The sequence below is a fragment of the Homo sapiens genome, chromosome X (assembly GCF_000001405.40).
Source record: "Homo sapiens chromosome X, GRCh38.p14 Primary Assembly".
Classification (NCBI taxonomy): domain Eukaryota; kingdom Metazoa; phylum Chordata; class Mammalia; order Primates; family Hominidae; genus Homo; species Homo sapiens.
In genome coordinates this window covers 88,572,763-88,592,826 of record NC_000023.11, presented here as the reverse complement: position 1 = coordinate 88,592,826, position 20,064 = coordinate 88,572,763, and the positions used below count along the sequence as shown (strand labels likewise).

Here is a 20,064-nt window from a genome sequence, read left to right as displayed (position 1 = left end):
CTCAGTTAGTCACTATCCTTTACTGATTAAGGGTTCTTATTCTACTGAGAGGTATTTTCTTTTAAAAAGAGAGAGGATATTTGTTAACTAAAATCTCAAATTGGTGAATTTTTACACAGAAAGCTACATGTAGTAAATAAATTCTGATGTAGTGAGAAGAAATTTTTGGTGCATAGGGTCTACTCTTCCTGAGAATCTGCCGGTAGGACAAGTTCCTCTGATTCTCAGCATCTCTCCCTAGGAATTTTTATGTTCTTGACAAACTTACATTACACAGTACTTCTTTTCTTTATTTTTGTTATTTCAATAGCTTTAGTGGTACAAGTAGTTTTTGGTTACATGGCTGAAGTCTAGGATTTTACAGCATCACCTGAGCAGTGTATATTGTACCCAATAAGTAGTTTTTTGTCCCTCACTCCTCTCTCATTCTTCCCTCTTCTGAGTTTCCAGTGTCCATCCTACCACTATGTATACCTTTGTGTACTCACAGTTTTGCTCCAATTTGTAAATGAGAACATGTGGTATTTGGTTTTTAATTCCTGAATTACTTCATTTAGAATAATAGCCTCCAGTTCCTTCCAAGTTGCTGCAAAATACTTTATTTCATTTTTTATGACTGAGTAGTATTCCACTGTGTGTGTGTGTGTCTGTGTGTGTGTGTGTGTATGTGTGTGTGTCACATTTTCTTATCCACTCATCAGTTGGTGGGCACTTAATTTGATTACATATCTTTGCAGTTGTGAACTGTGCTGCAGTAAACATACGTTTGCGTGTGTCTTTTTGATATAGTGACTTTTTTTTTCCTTTGGGTAGATACCCAGTGGTGGGAATGCTGGATTAAATGATAGATCAATTTTTTGTTCTGTGAGAAACTTCCCTACTGTTTTCCATAAAAGTTGTACTAATTTGTATTGCCACCAGCAATGTATAAGGGTCCCTTTTTCACTACATCTATTCCACCTTCTTTTTTTTTTTTTAACTTTTTAATAATGGCCATTCTGGCTGAGGTAAGGTAATATGTCACTGTGGTTTTAATTTGCATTTCCCCGATGATTAGTGATGTTGAGCATTTTTCGTATGTGTATTGGTACTTTCTTAGTCTTAATTGATCTGAGAAATGATCATTTGTTCAAAACTATAATGGGAACAATGTATTTGATTATATGTGTTTATGTATATAACTCTCATAAAAATAAAATAATGAAATTTTATATCATTCAGTTTTTATATATAAGCTGTAGGAAGATGCCATAATTATATTCTCTCAGTTTCCCAGAAAATAAACCCCTCAAAATGAGAGAAAAGGTAAAAACTTATATCAATATTAAAATTAAAAATAATATTCTAGATACTGCCAGCATCTGGAATAAATGTTCACTCTCTACATTTACTATGAAGCTTGCAAAAGACAATTTTTGGGAGTGCTACCAGGCTTCCAAATTCTCTTTGTTTGGGTTTCTTGCACCTTTCATTCAGACAGTAGGTTACATAGGTTATGGTTGTACAATGCGACTCTGTTTCCTGGGCCGCAATTAATATTGATCCATAGTGGCCATTTGGTTTTTTCACTGTTTTATGGCCCTTTTAGCCATAAAGATATTTTACTTATATAACAGTATACAACTGTAAAATAAACAAATATTTCCATATTTTTCTTTTTATATATTTGTTTCTATGGTTAGAAAACCATTACCAAAACCCCAAATTTATGGCCTATTATTATTATTATTATTTTATTTTATTTTATTTATTTATTTATTTTTTTGAGACGGAGTCTCGCTCTGTCGCCCAGGCTGGAGTGCAGTGGCGCGATCTCGGCTCACCGCAAGCTCCGCCTCCCGAGTTCACGCCATTCTCCTGCCTCAGCCTCCTCAGTAGCTGGGACTACAGGCGCACACTGCCACACCCGGCTAATTTTTTGTATTTTTAGTAGAGACGGGGTTTCACCATGTTAGCCAGGATGGGCTTGATATCCTGACCTCGTGATCCACCCGCCTCTGCCTCCCAAAGTGCTGGGTTTGCAGGAGTGAGCCACGGCACCCGGCCTATTTTTTTTAATTTTTATTTAATCTCAGGGGTGCATGTGCACATTTGTTATATAGGCAAATTGTGTGTTCTGGTAGTTTTGTGTACACATTATTTCATCGCCCAGGTAATAAGCATGGTACTTGATAGGTAATTTTTTTTTTATTCTCACCTTTCTCCTACCCTCAGGCCTTGAGTAGGCCCTTGTGTCTATTGCTGTCTTCTTTGTGTCCATATGTATTCTACGTTTAGCTCCCACTTATAAGTAAGATATACGGTATTTGGTTTTCTGTTTCTGCATTAGTTTGTTTAAGATAATGGGCTCCATCTCCATCCATGTTTCTGCAAAGGACATGATCTTGTATTTTTATGGCTTTATATTATTCCCTCATGTATATGTACCACATTTTCTTTATACAGTATACCATTGATGAGCATCTTGACTGATTCCATGTCTTTGCTATTTTGAATAGTGCTGCAATTAAAATACACAGGCAGATGTCTTTATGGTACAACAATTTATATTCCTTTGAGTATATACCCAATAATGGGATTGCTGTGTTAAATAAGTTGTGTTTTAGTTCTTTGAGAAATTGCTAAACTGCTTTCTACAGTGGCTGAGCTAAGTCACATTTCCACCAGCACTGTACAAGCATTCCCTTCTCTCTGTCACTTTGTCAGCATCTGTTATTTTTTAAATTTGTAATAGCCTTTCTGGCTGGTGTGAGATTATATCTCATTGTTATTTTGATTTGTATTTCTCTAATAATTAGTGATACTGAGCATTTTTTTATATGCTTATTGGCCGCCTGTATGTCTTCTTTTGAAAAGTGTCTGTTTGTGCCAGGCGTGGACCACGCCTGTAATCCCATCACTTTGGGAGGCCAAAGTGGGAGGATCACGAGGTGAGGAGATGGAGACCATCCTGGCTAACATGGTGAAACCCCATCTCTACTAAAAATACAAAAATTAGCCAGGCATGGTGGCGGGCACCTGTAGTCCCAGCTACTCAGGAGGCTGATGCAGGAGAATGGTGTGAACCCGGGAGGTGGAGCTTGCAGTGAACCAAGATCACACCACTGCATTCCAGCCTGGGTGACAGAGTGAGACTCTGTTTCAAAAAAACAACACCAAAAAAAGGAGAACAGTGTCTGTTCATGTCTTTTGCCCACTTTTTCACAGAGTTGTTTTTTGCTTGTTGATTTAAGTTTCTTCTAGAGTCTGCATATTAGACCTTTGTCAGAAGCATAGTTTGCAAATATTTTCTCTGATTTTGTGTTTTCTGTTTACTCCATTGATAGTTTTTTGTTTCTTTCTTTGTTTTGCTGTGTTTGTTTTGCTGTGCAGAAGCACTGTAGTTTAATTAGGTTCCATTTGTCAATTTTTATTTTGTTTCAGTTGATTTTGGCATCTTCATCATAAAGTCTTTGCCAAGGTCTATAACCAGAATGGTATTTCCTAAGTTTTTATCAAAGATTTTTATAGTTTTATGTTTTATATTTAAGTCTTTAATCCATCGTGAATTGATTTTTGTATATGGTGAAAGAAAGGTCCCTGTTTCAATCTTCTGCATATTGCTAGCCAGTTACCTCAGCAACATTTATCAAATAGAGAGTATTTCCCCAATTGCTTATTTTGGTCAACTTTGTGGGGAATCAGATAGTTTTAAGTGTGCGGTTTTATTTCTAGGATCTCTAGTCTGTTAAATTGGTCTGTGTGTCTGTTTTTGTACTAGTACCATGCTCTTTGGGTTACTGTAGCCTCATAGTATATTTTGAAGTTAAATAATGTGATGCCTTCAGCTTTGCTCTTTTTGCTCAAGATTTTTTTTTTTGATATATTGGCAATTTTTATTTCAAATGAATTTTAGAAAAGTTTGTACTAATTTTGTGAAGAATGTCATTAGTAGTTTGATAGGAATCACATTTAATTTATAAATTGCTTTGGGCAGTATGTCCATTTTAACAATATTTATTCTTCCTATCCATGAGCATGGAATGTTTTTCCATTTGTTTATGTCATGTCTGATTTCTTTGTGCTGTGTTTTATAATTGTTGTAGAGATCTTCCACCTCTGTTGTTAACTGTATTTCTAGGTGTTTTATTTGTGTGTGTATGGCTATTGTGAATAGAACTGCATCCTTGATTTGGCACTCAGCTTGGACATTATTGTTGTATATATATGCTACTCATTTTTGTATATATATATTTTTTTTTTTGAAACAGAGTCTCACTCTGTCGCCCAGGCTGGAGTGCAGTGGCACAATTTTGGCTCACTGCAACTTCCACCTCTCGGGTTCAAGCGATTCTCCTGCCTCAGCCTCCAAAGTACCTGGGATTACAGGCACCTACCACCACACCTGGCTAATTTTTGTATTTTTAGTAGGAACAGGGTTTCATCATGTTGGCCAGGGTGGTCTCAAACTCCTGGCCTCAAGTGATCCACCCACCTTAGCCTCCCAAAGTGCTGGGACTACAGGCATGAGCCACAGCACCTGGCCCAAGTATGTTAGTTTCTGTATCTTGGAACTCTGCTGAAGTTGTCTATCAGATCAAGAAGATTTTGGTGGGAGATTTTGGGGTTTTCTAGGTATAGAATCATATAGTCTGCCAATAGTGATAGTTTTACTTCCTCTCTTCCTGTTTGGATGCCTTTTATTTCTTTCTTTTGCCTGACTGCTCTGGCAAAGGCCTTCAGTACTATGTTGAATACGAGTGGTGAGAATATGCATCCTTGTCATGTTCCTATTTTCAAGAAAAATTCTAGCTTTTGCCCATTCAGTATGATGTCTACTGTGTATTTTTTATAGATGATTCTTATTATTTTGAGATACATTAAATGCCTCATTTGTTGAGAGTTTTTAACATGAAGCAATGTTGAATTTTGTTGATATCCTTTTCTGCATTTATTCAGATCATCTTGTGGTTTTTAGTTTTAGTTCTCTTTATTTGAGGAATCAAATTTGTTAATTTGCATATGTTGAACCAACCTTGCATTCCAGTGATAAATCTGACATGACCATGGTGAATTAGCTCTTTGATATGCTGGATTCAGTTTAATAGTATTTTCTTGGGGATTTTAGCATCTATGGTCATCAAGGATTTTGGCCTGAAGTTTTGTGTTTGTGTTTCTGCCAGGTGTTGGTATCAGAATGATGCTGGTCACATAGAATAAGTTAGGAAGGAGCCCCTTCTTCTCAATTTCTTGGAATAGTTTTAGAATGAATGGTACCAGCTCTTCTTTATGCATCTGGTAAAATTTGGCCGTGAATGTATCTGCTCCTGGGAGTTTTGTTGGCAGCCTTTTTATTACTGATTTGATTTCTGAACTCATTATTGGTCTCTGTTCAGGATTTCCCTTTCTTCATAGGATATTACCACTGACCCAACAGAACTACAAAAAACTGCAGAGGCTATTATGAACACCTCTATGCAAACAAACCAGAAAACCTAAAAGAAATAGATAAGTTCCTGGAAGCATACGATCTTCTAAGATTGAAGCATGAAGAAGTCATTTTGGAGTAGGTTGTTTAATTTCCTTGTAATGGTATGGTTTTCAGTGATCTTTTTAGTATTTGTTTCTATTTTTATTACGCTGTGCCTCATGAGCATGGTTGGTATGTTTTGGCTTTTTATAATTTATTGAGAATTGTTTTACAGCTGATTGTGTGGTTGGTTTTAGAGTATGTGTTATGTGAAGATGAGAAGAACATATATTCTGATTTTTGGGGTAGAGAGTTTTGTAGGTGTTTGTTAGGTCCACTAGCTCAAGTGTCAAATTTCGGTCTTGAATATCTTTGCTAATTTTCTGCCTCAATAATCTAATATGGTCAGTAAGGTGTTGATGTCCCTGGCTATTATTGTGTGGTTATCTAAATCTCTTCAAAGGTCTCTAAGAACTTGTTTTATCAATCTTGATGCTCCTGCATTTGGAGCATATATATTTAGGATAGTTAGGTCTTCTTGTTTAATTGAGCCCTTTACCATTATGCAGTATTACTCGTTTCTTTTGTGATTATTGTTGGTTTAAAGTCTGTTAGGTCTGAAATTAGAATAATGGTCCCTGCTTTGTTGTTGTTGTTTTCCAATTGCATGGTAGATTTTTCTTCATCCCTTTTCTATGAGCCCAAGAGTGTCACTGCATGTGAGATTGGTCTCTTGAAGGCAGCATGGATATTGTTTCTTTATTCAACTTGCCATTCTGTGCCTTTTAATTGGGACATTTTAGCTTGTTTACACTCAAGGTTAATCTTGACATGTGGCAGATTTGATGATGTCATCATGTTGTTAGCTGGTTGTTATGCATAGTTGATTGTGTGCTTGCTTTCAGAGGGTCAATTGTCTATGCATTTAAGTTCATTTTTGTTGTGGGCAGTAATGGTCTTTTGTTTCCATATTTAGTACTACCTTAAGGACTTTTTGTTAGGCAGGTCTGGTGATAATGAATTCCCTTAACATTTGCTTGTCTGAATGGTACCTTATTTCTTCTTCATTTATGAATATTAGTTTTATAGGATATGGAATTCTTGATGGGAGATTGTTTTCTTTAAGAGTACTGAGTATTGGCTCTCAATCTCTTCTGTCTTGAAAAGTTCACTATTAGCCTAATAGGGTTCCCTTTGTAGATGATCTGCCCCTTCTTCCTAGCTGCCATTAGTATTTTTCTTTCATTTTGACCTTCTACAATCTGATGACTGTGTGTCTTGGGAATGGTCATCCTGTGTAGTATCTCAAAGAGGTTCTCTGCATTTTCTGAATTAGAATGTTGGCCTCTGTGGCGAGATAGGGAAAATTTTGGTAGACAATATCTTCAAATATGTTTTGCAACTTGTGTGCTTTCTCGCACTCTCTTTCAATGAATTATATGCTTGTCATTTCGACTAATTCAGCCTGGTTTAAGAAACATCACTGGGGAAGTAGTGCAGTCATTTGAAGGTTAGAAGACACTCTGGCTTTTTGAGTTGCCCAAGTTCTTGTGCTGATTCTTTCTCATCTTTGTGGGCTGATATTTCTTTTATCTTTGAAGGCACGGTCCTTTGGATGATTTTTTTTCTTTTTTGCTTTTATTTTCTTTGCTGTTCTTGGGGTTTTGATTGTGAAATAAGGTGTGTTCTGTGAACTGGCTTTCATTCTCAAAAGATCTCACAGGGCCAAGCCTGAGATCATCACTCTTGGGCTGCATGCTCAAACTCTGGAGGGATGGTGCCAAGTCTTGGCTTTGCTCTTTGGTCCTGTGATGTTAGAAGCCTATTGTTCTGGAGGGGCCAAGGTGTTCCTGGTTCTTTGGCCTCAACACCCTAATGACACATGTCAGCCAAGGCACTTCGTAAGGGTAGTGGCAGTGGGATTTTTGCTCACTTGTGTGTGCCAGCAGCCATGGCAGCACAACGGGGTACACATGTGTTGGCTGGGACAGGCCACTGGTGGGAGCCTTTGCCTTAATTTTCATAGTTGCTGTATGCTAGAAAAATATTTTGGTGTTGTATTTTGGGCTGTGATCCTGTAGGAGGGGCTTATGAATATTACCCAGCAGATCAGCTCTCACTCTACTGCACAGCTTTTTTGGGTTTTGGTGCAGTTGGCAGTAGTGCTCTGTGGTAGAGGGGGAAAGAGATGACTCCCTCACCTAGACCACTTCTTAGCCTTGGAGGAGCCCCCTCTGATTAGTGGCTTTGGGCCCACATTTCTTTTTTGGGGTGTTCTGTTCCACGAGGCTCCATCAGGCAGGGACAACTGTTTGCAGACCAGCCGTATCCTTGCAGTTGTCAGCCCTGTGGAGGCTGGCACTCCTCTCTCTACCACTGGCCTGTGAACCTGGGGATCTCAAGTCTCTCAGTGATCCAAGAGTGTGGGCCCATCCTTGCTTAAGCACCACACAAGACAGCAAGTCCCACTTGGCTAGGAGATTTGGGTGTGGCTGCGGTCACCTAATCTGTCCACATGCTTCCCAGGGGAACATGGGGTTGTGCCTGCCCACAGAGTTCAGGCAGAAACAGTACCACTGGACTGGAAGCTCTAGTGGATGTGGCCCGTCTGGTTATGAGAGGCAGACGTGAGTGTATAGTTTCTCACCCAGCCATCCAGGTGTTTCCAAGGATAACAGGGTGCTGTGACCCTTACAGAATTCAGGCAGAAGTAGGACTGCTGGGCTAGAAGCTCTATCAAGTATTGCCCACCTGGCTACAAGAGGCAGGGGTGGGTGGAGTTGCTCACGGTGACATCTGGGTGTTTCCCAGGATAGCAGGAGGATGTACTCACTGGCTGAGTTGAAACAGTAGCGGGACTACTGGGCTGAAAGCTGTAGCAGGTGTTACCCTCCTGGCTAACAGCAGCTGAGTGAGTGAGGTCACCTGCCCTTTTGTCTGTTTCCCAGAACAACAGGGTGGAGCTACTGGCTGAGTTTAGGCAGAAGTGGGACCACTGGGCTGGAAGCTAGTGCGGAGCCTTGTTTGGCAAGGGAGGGTGGAGTAATCTTACTGTCCCCAGGTGTCATGACTGTTGTGTCTATTGGGGCTATGGCACTGGTGCAGGTCTATTTCATGGTGCAAGACTTGTAGAGGTCTCCAAGGACTTGAGAGTTGCCTCTGCAAAACACCTGGGTGGCTCTCTGTACAGTTTGTAAGTGTGGAGGGGTTTGGGAAGGCGGGGGGATTCTCCAGTTCTCAGTCTTGCACAGGTCCCTGTGGAGAATGTGAATCTGCCAGCGGGGCTCTCACTTACTCACCCTTTCCCATGTTGGGGAGTTTCTCCTAGCTCCACATTGATTCCAAATAGGCTGTGCCCAGCTTTACTCCTTTCTGCTCCCTGTATCCCCTTGCTGCCTTTATTGATCCTGATTTGAATTCTTAGATGACTGGCATATAGGGTCAGTGTTCAGTAGCTTAAGTATTATATTTTTTCTATGAGAGTGGCACACATGAACTGCTTTTAGTCTGCCATCTTGACCCAACCCACCACACAGTAGTTCTTAGGACAATTATAATGGCTGTCATCATTGTGGGATACAGAGCAGTTTGGAAAAAGGTAATATGTTTCAAAGATTTATGTTTTATTTTATTCAGTTTTGCATCTCTAGCAAATGTCACACTGGTGTTCTGCAAGAAATAATGTTTGCTTTTTTTCCTATCACCTGCACGCCTACATACTGTGCTATGATTAACATGTCTACAAATTACTTCTGCTTAGAGAGGAAGCTTAGAATATTGGAAAATTCAATGATTTGAAACTAGAGAACTTAAACTGAAATCCTTGCTCTGTCACATTCAGTTAATTATTTAACCTCTCAGAACCTTAACTGTTTAAATAATAAAACAAGCAAAAATAAAACCGAGTTTTTAGTCTTCACGATGGCTGACTAGGGACATTACATGCCAGTTCTCCCTTGAAGAAAGATAAATATTAACAGTGAATGGACAAGTTTAGAGTGGAAAATGAGTAGAGGAGAGCCAGGATCTGTTGGAGCACCCATCTGAAGAAGCTTGGGCGCACAGAAAGGAAAAGCAGTAAAATTCTGGCTGGGATCAAACCCCAAGGAGCTCAGAGCTCAGCAGAAAGGGTAGATGGGAGTTCTTCTCTCCTCCTCTCATCCCTCTGTCAATCTGACTGCTGAGCTGTTGAGGACCCCCTCTTCCCCCATGACCCAGGCAACACTATCAGTTGTGAACAGAGATCTTTCAGGGAACAAAGAATCAGGGGGCCACCTTGCACAGACATGCCACACTTCCCCCTCAGACCCAGGTTGAGACAGTAGGTGCCATACCACAGTGCACACTTAGTGCCACTGCCCTGCTCAGGATCTTCCATCCTTCGGCTTCTGCCCTACCAAACCACGTGCAGACACACCCCACTCTGACTTTGGCAAACAGGGCACTCAAGGTTCCCCAGATAGTTGTGAGTTCCCTGGAGATATAACTCTTGGCCTGGAGTGTTCATGGGGAGGAGGAGCGAACAGCTCAACAAAGCCCACCACGGGTCAAAGACTTCAATTTCTTTTTCTTTTTCTTTTTTTTTTTTTTTTTTTTTTGAGACAGAATCTTGCTCTGTCGCCCAGGCTGGAGTGCAGTGGCATGATCTCGGCTCACTGCAAGCTCCGCCTCCCGGGTCCACACCATTCTTCTGCCTCAGCCTCCCGAGTAGCTGGGACTACAGGCGCCTGCCACCACGCCCGGCTAATTTTTTGTATTTTTAGTAGAGACGGGGTTTCACCGTGTTAGCCAGGATGGTCTCGATCTCCTGACCTTGTGATCCGCCCACCTCGGCCTCCCAAAGTGCTGGGATTACAGGGGTAAGCCACTGCGCCTGGCCAAAGGCTTCAATTTCTAAAGGAGGACACACCATAGCCCAGGGATGGTTGTGGAGATGGGGTCATTTTTCACCCACCCCTGCTCCTTAGGGAACTGTTGCAAATGCTGCAATGTCTCTTCCCATTGGAGCCCTACGAGCATGCACAGAAAGAGGCTACTTTTCATGCTTCTCTGGTTGCCTCATCCCCAATGAAGGCAAGCTCATATTGGGAGAGGGCATGTTTTGTGAGTCTCTGGTGTCTTCATTCATGCAGAGGATGAGTACATGCCGTGTAATAGCCTACCTGCCAGCTTTTACTCTTAAGCACCATATACTGGACTGCAGCCTGAATTACACCATAATAGAAAAATGCATTGCTACAACAAACAGCATCTGAGAAAGCCACTGCATGAACCTGTCTGCAACCAACAAACATATGGTTTGCCCTGTGAAAGCAACCAGAAATGAAGACAATCAGTTATACAAGACATTCGCCACAGTCACAACCTCAATGGAAAAATTGATAAAAAAATTAAAAAGCTCCATCTAAACAGCAAATTCAAAAAAAGAAACATCAGTTCCCTCAGATGAAAAGGAATCAGCACCATAGCTATGGCAATACAAAAAGCCACAATGTTTTGTTACCTCCAAATTATCACGTTAACTCTATGACAGGATGACATATCTCAAATGACAAATATACAATTAAGAATATGGATGGCAAGGAAACCCAATGATATCCAAGAGAAGGTTGAAATCCAATAGAAAGAAGGCAGAAAAGCAATCCAAGATATGAAAGATAGTATAGCCACATTAAAAAAGAACACAACAGAATTTCTGGAATTGAGAAATTAACTACAGAAATTTCGAAACACAATTTGAATACTTGAAAATAGACAACACCAAGTAGAAGAAAGAATTTAACAGCTCAAAAATTAGCTCTTCAACATAGATAAAAATAATAAAAATCTGAACAAAGACTTTGAGAAATACTGGATTATGTAAAGTGACCAAACCTATGACGTATTGGCATTCCTGAGAGAGAAAAGAAATTAAGAAAAGTGAAAAACATAGTTGATGACATAATTCCAGGAAATTTTCCCAATCTTGCTAGAGAGGCCAACATCCAGATACAAGAAATTCAGAGAAATCCTGTGAGATGCTATACAAGAAGATGATGCCCAAAGCACAGTCATCAGACTATCCACGGTTGACGCTAAAGGAAGAATGTGAAAGCAGCTAGAGAAAAGGGCCAAATTATCTATAAAATAACTCCCATTAGAGTAACAGGGGACTTCTGTGCAGAAACCTTAGAAATCAGAAGAATTGTGGGCCTACTTTTAGCCTTCTTAAAGAAAAGGAATGGCAGCCAATAATTTCGTATCCTGACAAAATGAGCTTCATAAACAAAGGAGAAAAAAAGACTCTCAGAAAAACAACTGCTAATGGAATTCATCAACACCAGATCAGTCCTACGAGAGACGCTTAGGGAGTAATTTTTTAAATATAATTTAAACTTTTATTTTATATTCAGAGGATACAGGTGCAGGTTTTTTACGTGAGTATATTATGTGAGATTGAGATTTGGGCTACAAATGATTCTGTCACACAGGTAGTGAGCATAGTACCCAATAGGTAGTTTTTCAGCCCCAGCCCCCTTACCCTCTCCCTCTTCTAGTAGTCCTCAGTGTTTTTTCTTTCCATTTTTCTTTCCATACATACACAATGTTTAGCTCCCATTCATAAGTAAAAAATGCAGTATTTGATTTTATGTGTTGGCATTATTTTTTATCAGAATGATGGCCTCCAAATGCATGCATGTTTCTGCAAATAGCATTTTTCAATTCTTTTTTATGGCTGCATAGTATTCCATGATGAATATGTAGTACATTTTCTTTATGCAAACCACCATTGATGGGCACCTAAGTTGATTCTGTATCTTTCCTATTGTGAATACTGCTGCAATGAGCATACAAGTGCAGGTGTCTCTTTGGTAGAACAATTTAATTTCTTTTGGGCATATACTGAATAATGAAATTACTGAGTTTAATGGTAATTGTGCTTTTACTTTTTTTGAGAAATTTCCAAACTGCTTTCCAAAGTGCTTTTCAAACTGCTTTCCAAAATTTACATTCCTACTAACAGTCCATAAATGTTCTCTTTTATCTGCAGCCTCACCAGCATCTGTTATTTTCTATAATTTTAATAATAGCCATTCTGGCTGGTGACAGATAGTATCTCATTTTTGTTTTGATTTGAATTTCTCTGATGACTAGTGATGTTGAGCATTTTTTATGTTTGTTGGCCACTTGTATGCCTTCTTTTGGGATATGTCTGTTCATGCCTTTGGCCTACTTTTCAATGGAGATATTTTTTCTTATTTTTGAGTTAAGTTCCATAGGGATTCCTGGATATTAGACTTTTGTCAGATGTGTGGTTTGCAAATAATTTCTCTAAGTCTGTGTGTTGTCTGTTTACTCTGTTGATAGTTTGTTTGGCTGTGCAAAATATCTGTAGTTTAATTAGATCACACTGGTCAATTTTTATTTTTGTTGTGTTTGGTTTTGAAGACTTAGTCAAAATTATTTGCCAAAGCCAATATTCAGAATGATATTTTCAAGGTTTCTTCTAGGACTTTTATACTTTGAAGTCTTTCATTTAAATATTTTATCCATCTGGAGTTAATTTTGTATATGGAGAAAGGTAGGGGGCCAGTTGTATTCTTCTCCATATAGCTAGCCAGTTATCCCAGCACCATTTATTAAACAGCGAGTCCTTTCCTCATTGCTTGTTTGTGTCAACTTTGTCAAAGATGAGATGTATGTATGTGTGCAGCTTCATTTATTTCTGGGTTTTATATTCTGTTCCATTGGTCTCTATGTCTGTTTTTGTACCAGTGCAATTCTGTTTTGGTTGCCATAGCCTTATAATAGAGTTTGAAGCTGGTTAACGTGATGTCTGCAGCTTGGTTCTTTTTGCTTAGGATTGATTTGGCTATTCAGGCTCTTCGTTGGTCCTATATGAATTTTAGAATATTTTTATCTACTTCTGTGAAAAATGATGTTGGTAGTTTGACAGGAGTAGTATTAAGTCTTTAGATTGCTTTAGGCAGAATGACCATTTTAATGATATTAATTATTCCAGTTTGTGATTATGGAAGGATTTTTCATTTGTTTGTGTCATTTCTGATTTCTTTCAGCAGTGTTTTGTAGTTCTCCATTTAGAGATCCTTCATTTCCTTTGTTAGATGTATTCTTACTATTTTATTCTTTTTGTGGCTATTTTAAATGGGATTGTGTTATTTGTTCCTCAGCTTGAACATTATTGGTGTATAGAAATGCTACTGATATTTTACATTGGAATTCTACCCTGAAATTCACTGTAGTTGTTTATCAGGTCTAGGGGATTTTGTCAGTCTTCAAGGTTTTCTAAGTATAGGATCATATCATCAGTGAAGATACATAATTTGGCTTCTTTTATTCCTATTTGAATGCCATTTATTTCTTTCTCTGGCCCGCTCTCTGACTAGGACTTCCAGTACTATGTTGGATAGGAGTGATGAGCGTCATCATCCTTGTCTTGTTCTGCTTCTCAAGGGGAATCCTTCTAGCTTTTGTCTATTCAGTATAATACAGGCTCTGGGTTTGTCACAGATGGCTCTTATTATTTTAAGATATGTTTCCTCAATACCTTGTATGTTTAGGGTGTTTATCATGAAGGAATGATGAATTTTATTGAAAACTTTCTCTGCACTTAATGAGATAATCATTTATTTTTTGTTTTTAATTATGTTTATGTAGGTGAATGACATTTATTGACTTGATTACTTTAAAAAAATTGTTTTATTTCCACAGGTGTTTTGAGGAACCAGTGGTATTTGGTTACATGAGTAAGTTCTTTAATGGTGATTTGTGAGATTTTGGTACACCCATCACCCAAGCATTACATACCGAATGCAATTTATAGTCTTTTATCCCTCATCTCCCTCCCGCCCTTTCCCCCGGGTCCCCAAAGTCCATTATATCATTGTTATGCCTTTGCATCCTCATAGCTTAGCTCCCATTTATGAGTGAAAACATATGACATTTGTGTTTCCATTCCTGAGTTACTTCACTTAGAATAATAGTCTCCAGTTCCATCCAGGTTGCTGTGAAAGCCAATAATTTGTTTCTTTTTATGGTTGAGTAGTATTCCATCATATATATATACATATATACACATATACATATCACATATATACACATATATATATCACATATATAATACACACACACACATACCACAATTTCTTTATCCACTCATTGATTGATGGACATTTGGACGGGTTCCATGTTTTTGCAATTGTGGATTGTGTTGCTATAAACATGTGTATACAGGTATCTTTTTCATATAATGACTTCTTTTCCTCTGGGTAGATACCAGTAGTGGGATTACTGGACCAAAAGGACTTCTAGTTCTTTAAGGAATCTCCACACTGTTTTTCATAGTGGCTGCACTGGTTTACATTCCCACCAGCAGTATAGACATGTTCCGTTTTCACTGCATTCTCGCTAACATCTATTATTATTTTTTGACTTTTTGATCATGGAAATTCTTGCAGGTGTAAGGTGGTATCACATTGTGATTTTGATTTGCATTTCCCTGATCATTACTGATCTTGAGCATTTTTTTTCGTCTGTTTGTTGGCCATTTGTATATCTTCTTTTGAGAACTGTCTATTTGAGAATTGTCTATTTATGTCCTTAGTCCATTTTTTGATGGGATTGTTTGTTTTTTCTTGCTAATTTGTTTGAATTCCTTGTAGATTCTGGATATTAGTCCTTTGTCAGATGTATAGACTGTAAAGATTTTCTCCCACTCTGTACATTGCCTGTTTACTCTACTGACTGTTCCTCTTGCTGTGCAGAAACGCCTTAGTTTAATTACGTCCCACCTATTTATCTTTGTTTTTGTTGCATTTGCTTTCCAAACCTAAACCCAGGAGAAGAAAAGAAATAACAAAGATCAGACCAGAACTAAATGAATTTGAAGTAAACAAACTAAACAATGCAAAAGATAAAGGAAACAAAAAGCTAGTTCTTTGAACCAAGAAAAGAAGATAGAAGATCCAAATAAGCTCAATTAAAAACGAAATGGGAGATATTACAACTAGCAACACAGAAATACAAAAGTTCATTCAAGGCTACTATGGACACCTTTATGCACATAAAATAGAAAACCTAGAGGAGATGGATAAATTCCTGGATATATACCCTTCTAGCTTAAATCAGAAAGAGTTAGAAATCCTGAACAGACTAATAACAAGCAGCGAGATTGAAATGGTAATAAAAAAATTACCAACAAAAAAAGTCCAGGGCTAGCCAGATTCTCAGCTGATTTCTATCAGACACTCAAAGAAGTATTGGTACCAATCCTATTGACACTATTCCACAAGATAGAGAAAGAGGGAATCTTCCCTAAATCATTCTATGAAGCCAGTATCATCCTAATACCAAAACCAGTAAAGGACACAGCAGCAACAACAAAAAAACTACAGACCAATATCCGTGATCAACATAGATGCAAAAATCCTTAGCAAAATACTAGCTAACCGAATTCAACAGATATCAAAAAAATAATTCACCATGATCAAGTGGGTTTCATACCAGGGATTCAGGGATGGTTTAACATATGCAAGTCAATAAATGTGATACCCGACATAAACAGAATTAGAAACAAAAATCACATGATCATCCCAAAAGATCCAGAAAAAGCATTGGACAAAATCCAGCATCCCTTTATGATTAAAACCCTCAGCAAAATCGGCATACAAGGCCTCAGTGTAATAAAAGCCATCTATTACAAACCCTCAGCCAATGTAATACTGAACAGGGAAAAGTTCTCTCTCAGAGAACTGAAACAAGACAAGGATGCCAGCTCTCACGACTTCTACTCACCATAATACTGGAAGTCCTAGCAAGAGCAATCAGAGAAGAGAAATAAAGACATCCAAATCAGTAAAGAGGAGGTCAAACTGTCGCTGTTTGCTGATGATATATGATCGTATACCTAGAAAACCCTAAAGACTCATCCAAAAAGCTCCTAGAACTGATAAATGAATTCAGCAAAGTTTCAGGATATAAAATTTACACAAATCAGTAGTTCTGCTATATACCAACGGCAACCAAGCTGAGAATCAAATCAAGAACTCAACCCCTTTTACAATAACTGCAAAAAATAAAAAAGAAAATACTTAGGAATATACCTAACCAGGGAGATGAAAACTTCTACAAGGAAAACTACAAAACACTGCTGAACGAAATCATAGATGACACAAACAAATGGAAATATGTCCCATGCTCATGGATGGGTAGAATCAATATTGTGAAAATGACCATATTGCCAAAAGCAATCTACACATTCAATCCAATTCCCATCAAAATACCATCATCATTCTTCACAGAACTAGCAAAAACAATCCTAAAATTCATATGGAACTAAAAAAGAGCCCGCAAGAGCCCACATAGCCAAAGCGAGACTAAGCAAAAAGAACAAATCTGGAGGCAACATATTACCTGACTTCAAACTATACTATAATGCCATAGTCACCAAAACAGCATGGTACTGATATGAAAATAGGCACATAGACCTATAGAACAGAATAGAGAACCCAGAAATAAACCTAAGTACTTACAACCAACTAATCTTCAACACAGCAAACGAAAACATAAAGTGGGGGAAACGACACCTTATTCAACAAATGGTGCTGGGATAATTGGCAAGCCACGTGTAGGAGAATGAAACTGGATCCTCATCTATTGACTTGATTCTTATGGGAGTTCTGAACACAGAAACAATACCTGTTGCCACAAAATCACATGTAAGTACATAGCCCAGGCACTCTATGAAGCAACTACACAGTTGACATTAAAATGCAACTCTGTGACAACATTATGATGGGAACAAAACCTCATATATCAGTATTAATCTTGAATATAAATGTCCTAAGTGCTTCCCCTAAAAGACCGGGAGAGGCAAATTGAATTAGGCAGTATGAACATATTAACAATATTGATTCTTCAAATCCATGAGCATGGACTATTTTTCCATTTGTTTGTGTCATTCTATGATTTCTTTCAGCAGTGTTTTGCAGTTATCCTTGTAGCTATTTTTCACTTCCTTGATTATAAGTGGTCTCCTAGGTGTTTTAATTGTTGTGGCTATTGTAAATGGAATTGCATTATTGATTTGGTTCTCAACTGAAATGCTATCAGTGTATAGAAATTCTGCTGGTTTTGCATGTTGATTTTGTACCATAAAACTTTACTGAAGTTATTAGGTCTAGGAGTCTTTTGGTAGAATCTTTATGTGTTTCTAGGTATAGAGTTATATCATCAGTGAAGAGAGAGATAAATTGACCTCCTGGTTTCCTATTTAAATGCCTTTTCTTTCTTCCCGTTGCCTTATTGCTCTGGCTAGAACTCCCAATACTTTGTTAAATAGTAGAGAGCGTGGAAACTCTTGTCTTGTCCACAGTTATAGAGGGAATACTTCCACCTTTTTCCTGTTCAGTATGATGTTGGTTTGGGGTTTATCATAGGTGGCTCTTACTACTTTGAAATATGTCCCTTCATTGCTTAGTTTGTAGAGGGTTTTTATCATCAAAGGCTGTTGGGTTTTATTGAATTTTGTTGCATCAACTGAGATAATTTTATATTTTTTGTTTTTGATTCTATTGAATAAATGTGTGAATCACATTTATTGATTTGTGTACATTGTACAATGCCTGCATCCCAGGAAGATATCCCAGTTGATCATGGTGAATTATCTTTTGGATGTGCTGACTTATGTTGTCTCTTTGTTTTCATTTCTTTCAAGCTTTTTTAAAATTTCTGCTTTAATTTTGTTGTTTACCCCAAAGTCGCTCAGGAGCAAGTTGTTTACTTTTCATTTTCTGTGTTGTTTTCTTTTCATTTTTTGTGTTGTTTTAAGAGTTCCAATTGGTATTGCTTTATAATTTTATTTCCCAGTACTCTGAGATGATGCTTGGTATGACTTTGATTTTTTTAATTTATTGAGACTACTTTTATGGCCAACCATGTGGCCAATCTTTGAGTATGTTCTGTCTGCAGATGATAATGTGTATTCTTTAGCTGTTGAGTGCAGTATTCTGTAGGTATCTATTAAGCCCAATTTGTCAGGTGTCCATCTAAATCTGGAATTTCTTTATTAGTGTTCTGCCTTGATGATCTGTCTAAGGCTGTCAGTGGGGTGTTGAAGTCCCTCATTATTTTTGTGTGGCTGTATCTCTTTGCTTAGCTCTAGTAGTAATTCCTTTATTAGTCTTGGTGTTCTGATATTGGGTGCACATACACATATTTGCAAACTGTGCATTTGTCAAGGGACAAATATCCAGAATCTATAAGAAACTTAAATCAACAGAAAAAAAATAACCCAATTCAAAGTGAGCAATGGTCAGGAACAGACATTCCTCAAAAGAAGATATACAAGTGGCCAGCAAACAGATTTTTAAAATGCTTAACATCATTAATCAAGAGAGAAATGTGAATCAAAACCACAATGAAATACCATCTCACACTAATCAGAGTGGCCATTATTAAAAAGTCAAAAAATAACAGATGTTGGCAAAATTGCAGAGAAAAGGGAATGCTTATATACTGTTGGTGAGAATGTAAATTAGTTCAACCCCTGTGAAATGCAGTTTGAGTGATTCTCAAAAAGTAAAAATAGAAGTACCATTTGACCCTGCAATTTCATTACTTGGTATACAAGCAAAGGAAAATTAAGTGCTCTACCAAAAAGACACCTACACTTGTATTTTTAGTGCAGCAGTATTCACAATAGCAAAGGCATGGAATCAGCCTAGGTGCCCATCAGTGGTGGTTTGGATAAAGAAAATGTGGTACATATACATCATGGAATACTATGCAGCCATAAAAAATAGCAAAATTATATCCATCAGAGCAACATGGATGTAGCTGGAGGCCATTATCATAAGTGAATTAACACAGAAACAGAACAATCAATGCTGCATTGTTTTCATTTATGAGTGAGAGGTAAACATTGATATGTATGAACTAAGCATCTTTATGTATAGACATAAAGATAAAAACAACAGACACTGGAGACACCAAAGCTGTGGAAGGAGGGCTGGAGTCAAGGGTTGGAAACTACCTATTGGGTACTATATTCACTATTTGGGTGACAGATTCAATAAAAGCCCATACATCACCATCTTGCAATAGATCTATTTAACTAACCTGCACATGTACCCCCAAATCAGAAAAAGGAAGCAAAACAAGCAGACAAAACAAAGCAAATAGTTTTTACCTTAAATGGATAAAATAATCCATTGAGAAAATATGTAATGTTTAGGACATTTTTGGACACATGTAAAATGCTCAATAAATTACAAAAGTTATTCATATAATTGTCATTATCACCATCACCATCGTCATCAAAAGATTCACTGTGCGTCCTTGGGCAAGTTGCTTTGTTTTATGTGCCTCAGTTATGTTTCTTCCAAAATGAGGAAAATCCTAATACCTACGCTATAGGATTGTTGTGTAAATTGAACCAAATAATAAATGCAAAATGTTTAGTATATGTTTAGCATTTATGGATGATACAAAATGAAGGCTCACTAAATGTTAACAATAGTAATAGTACAGTTGTTTTTTTTTTTTTTTTTTTTTTTTTGAGACGGAGTCTTGATCTGTCGCCATGGCTGGAGTGCAGTAGCGAGATCTCAGCTCAC

The 20,064-nt window shown here is 37.9% G+C and overlaps 1 long non-coding RNA gene across 1 annotated transcript in view; it reads left to right on the top strand.

Moving 5' to 3' along the window:
- LOC107985713 (uncharacterized) overlaps positions 1-20,064 on the top strand; it is a 119,361-nt gene that overhangs the window by 20,664 nt on the left and 78,633 nt on the right. The gene's annotated exons all lie outside the window — the stretch shown is intronic.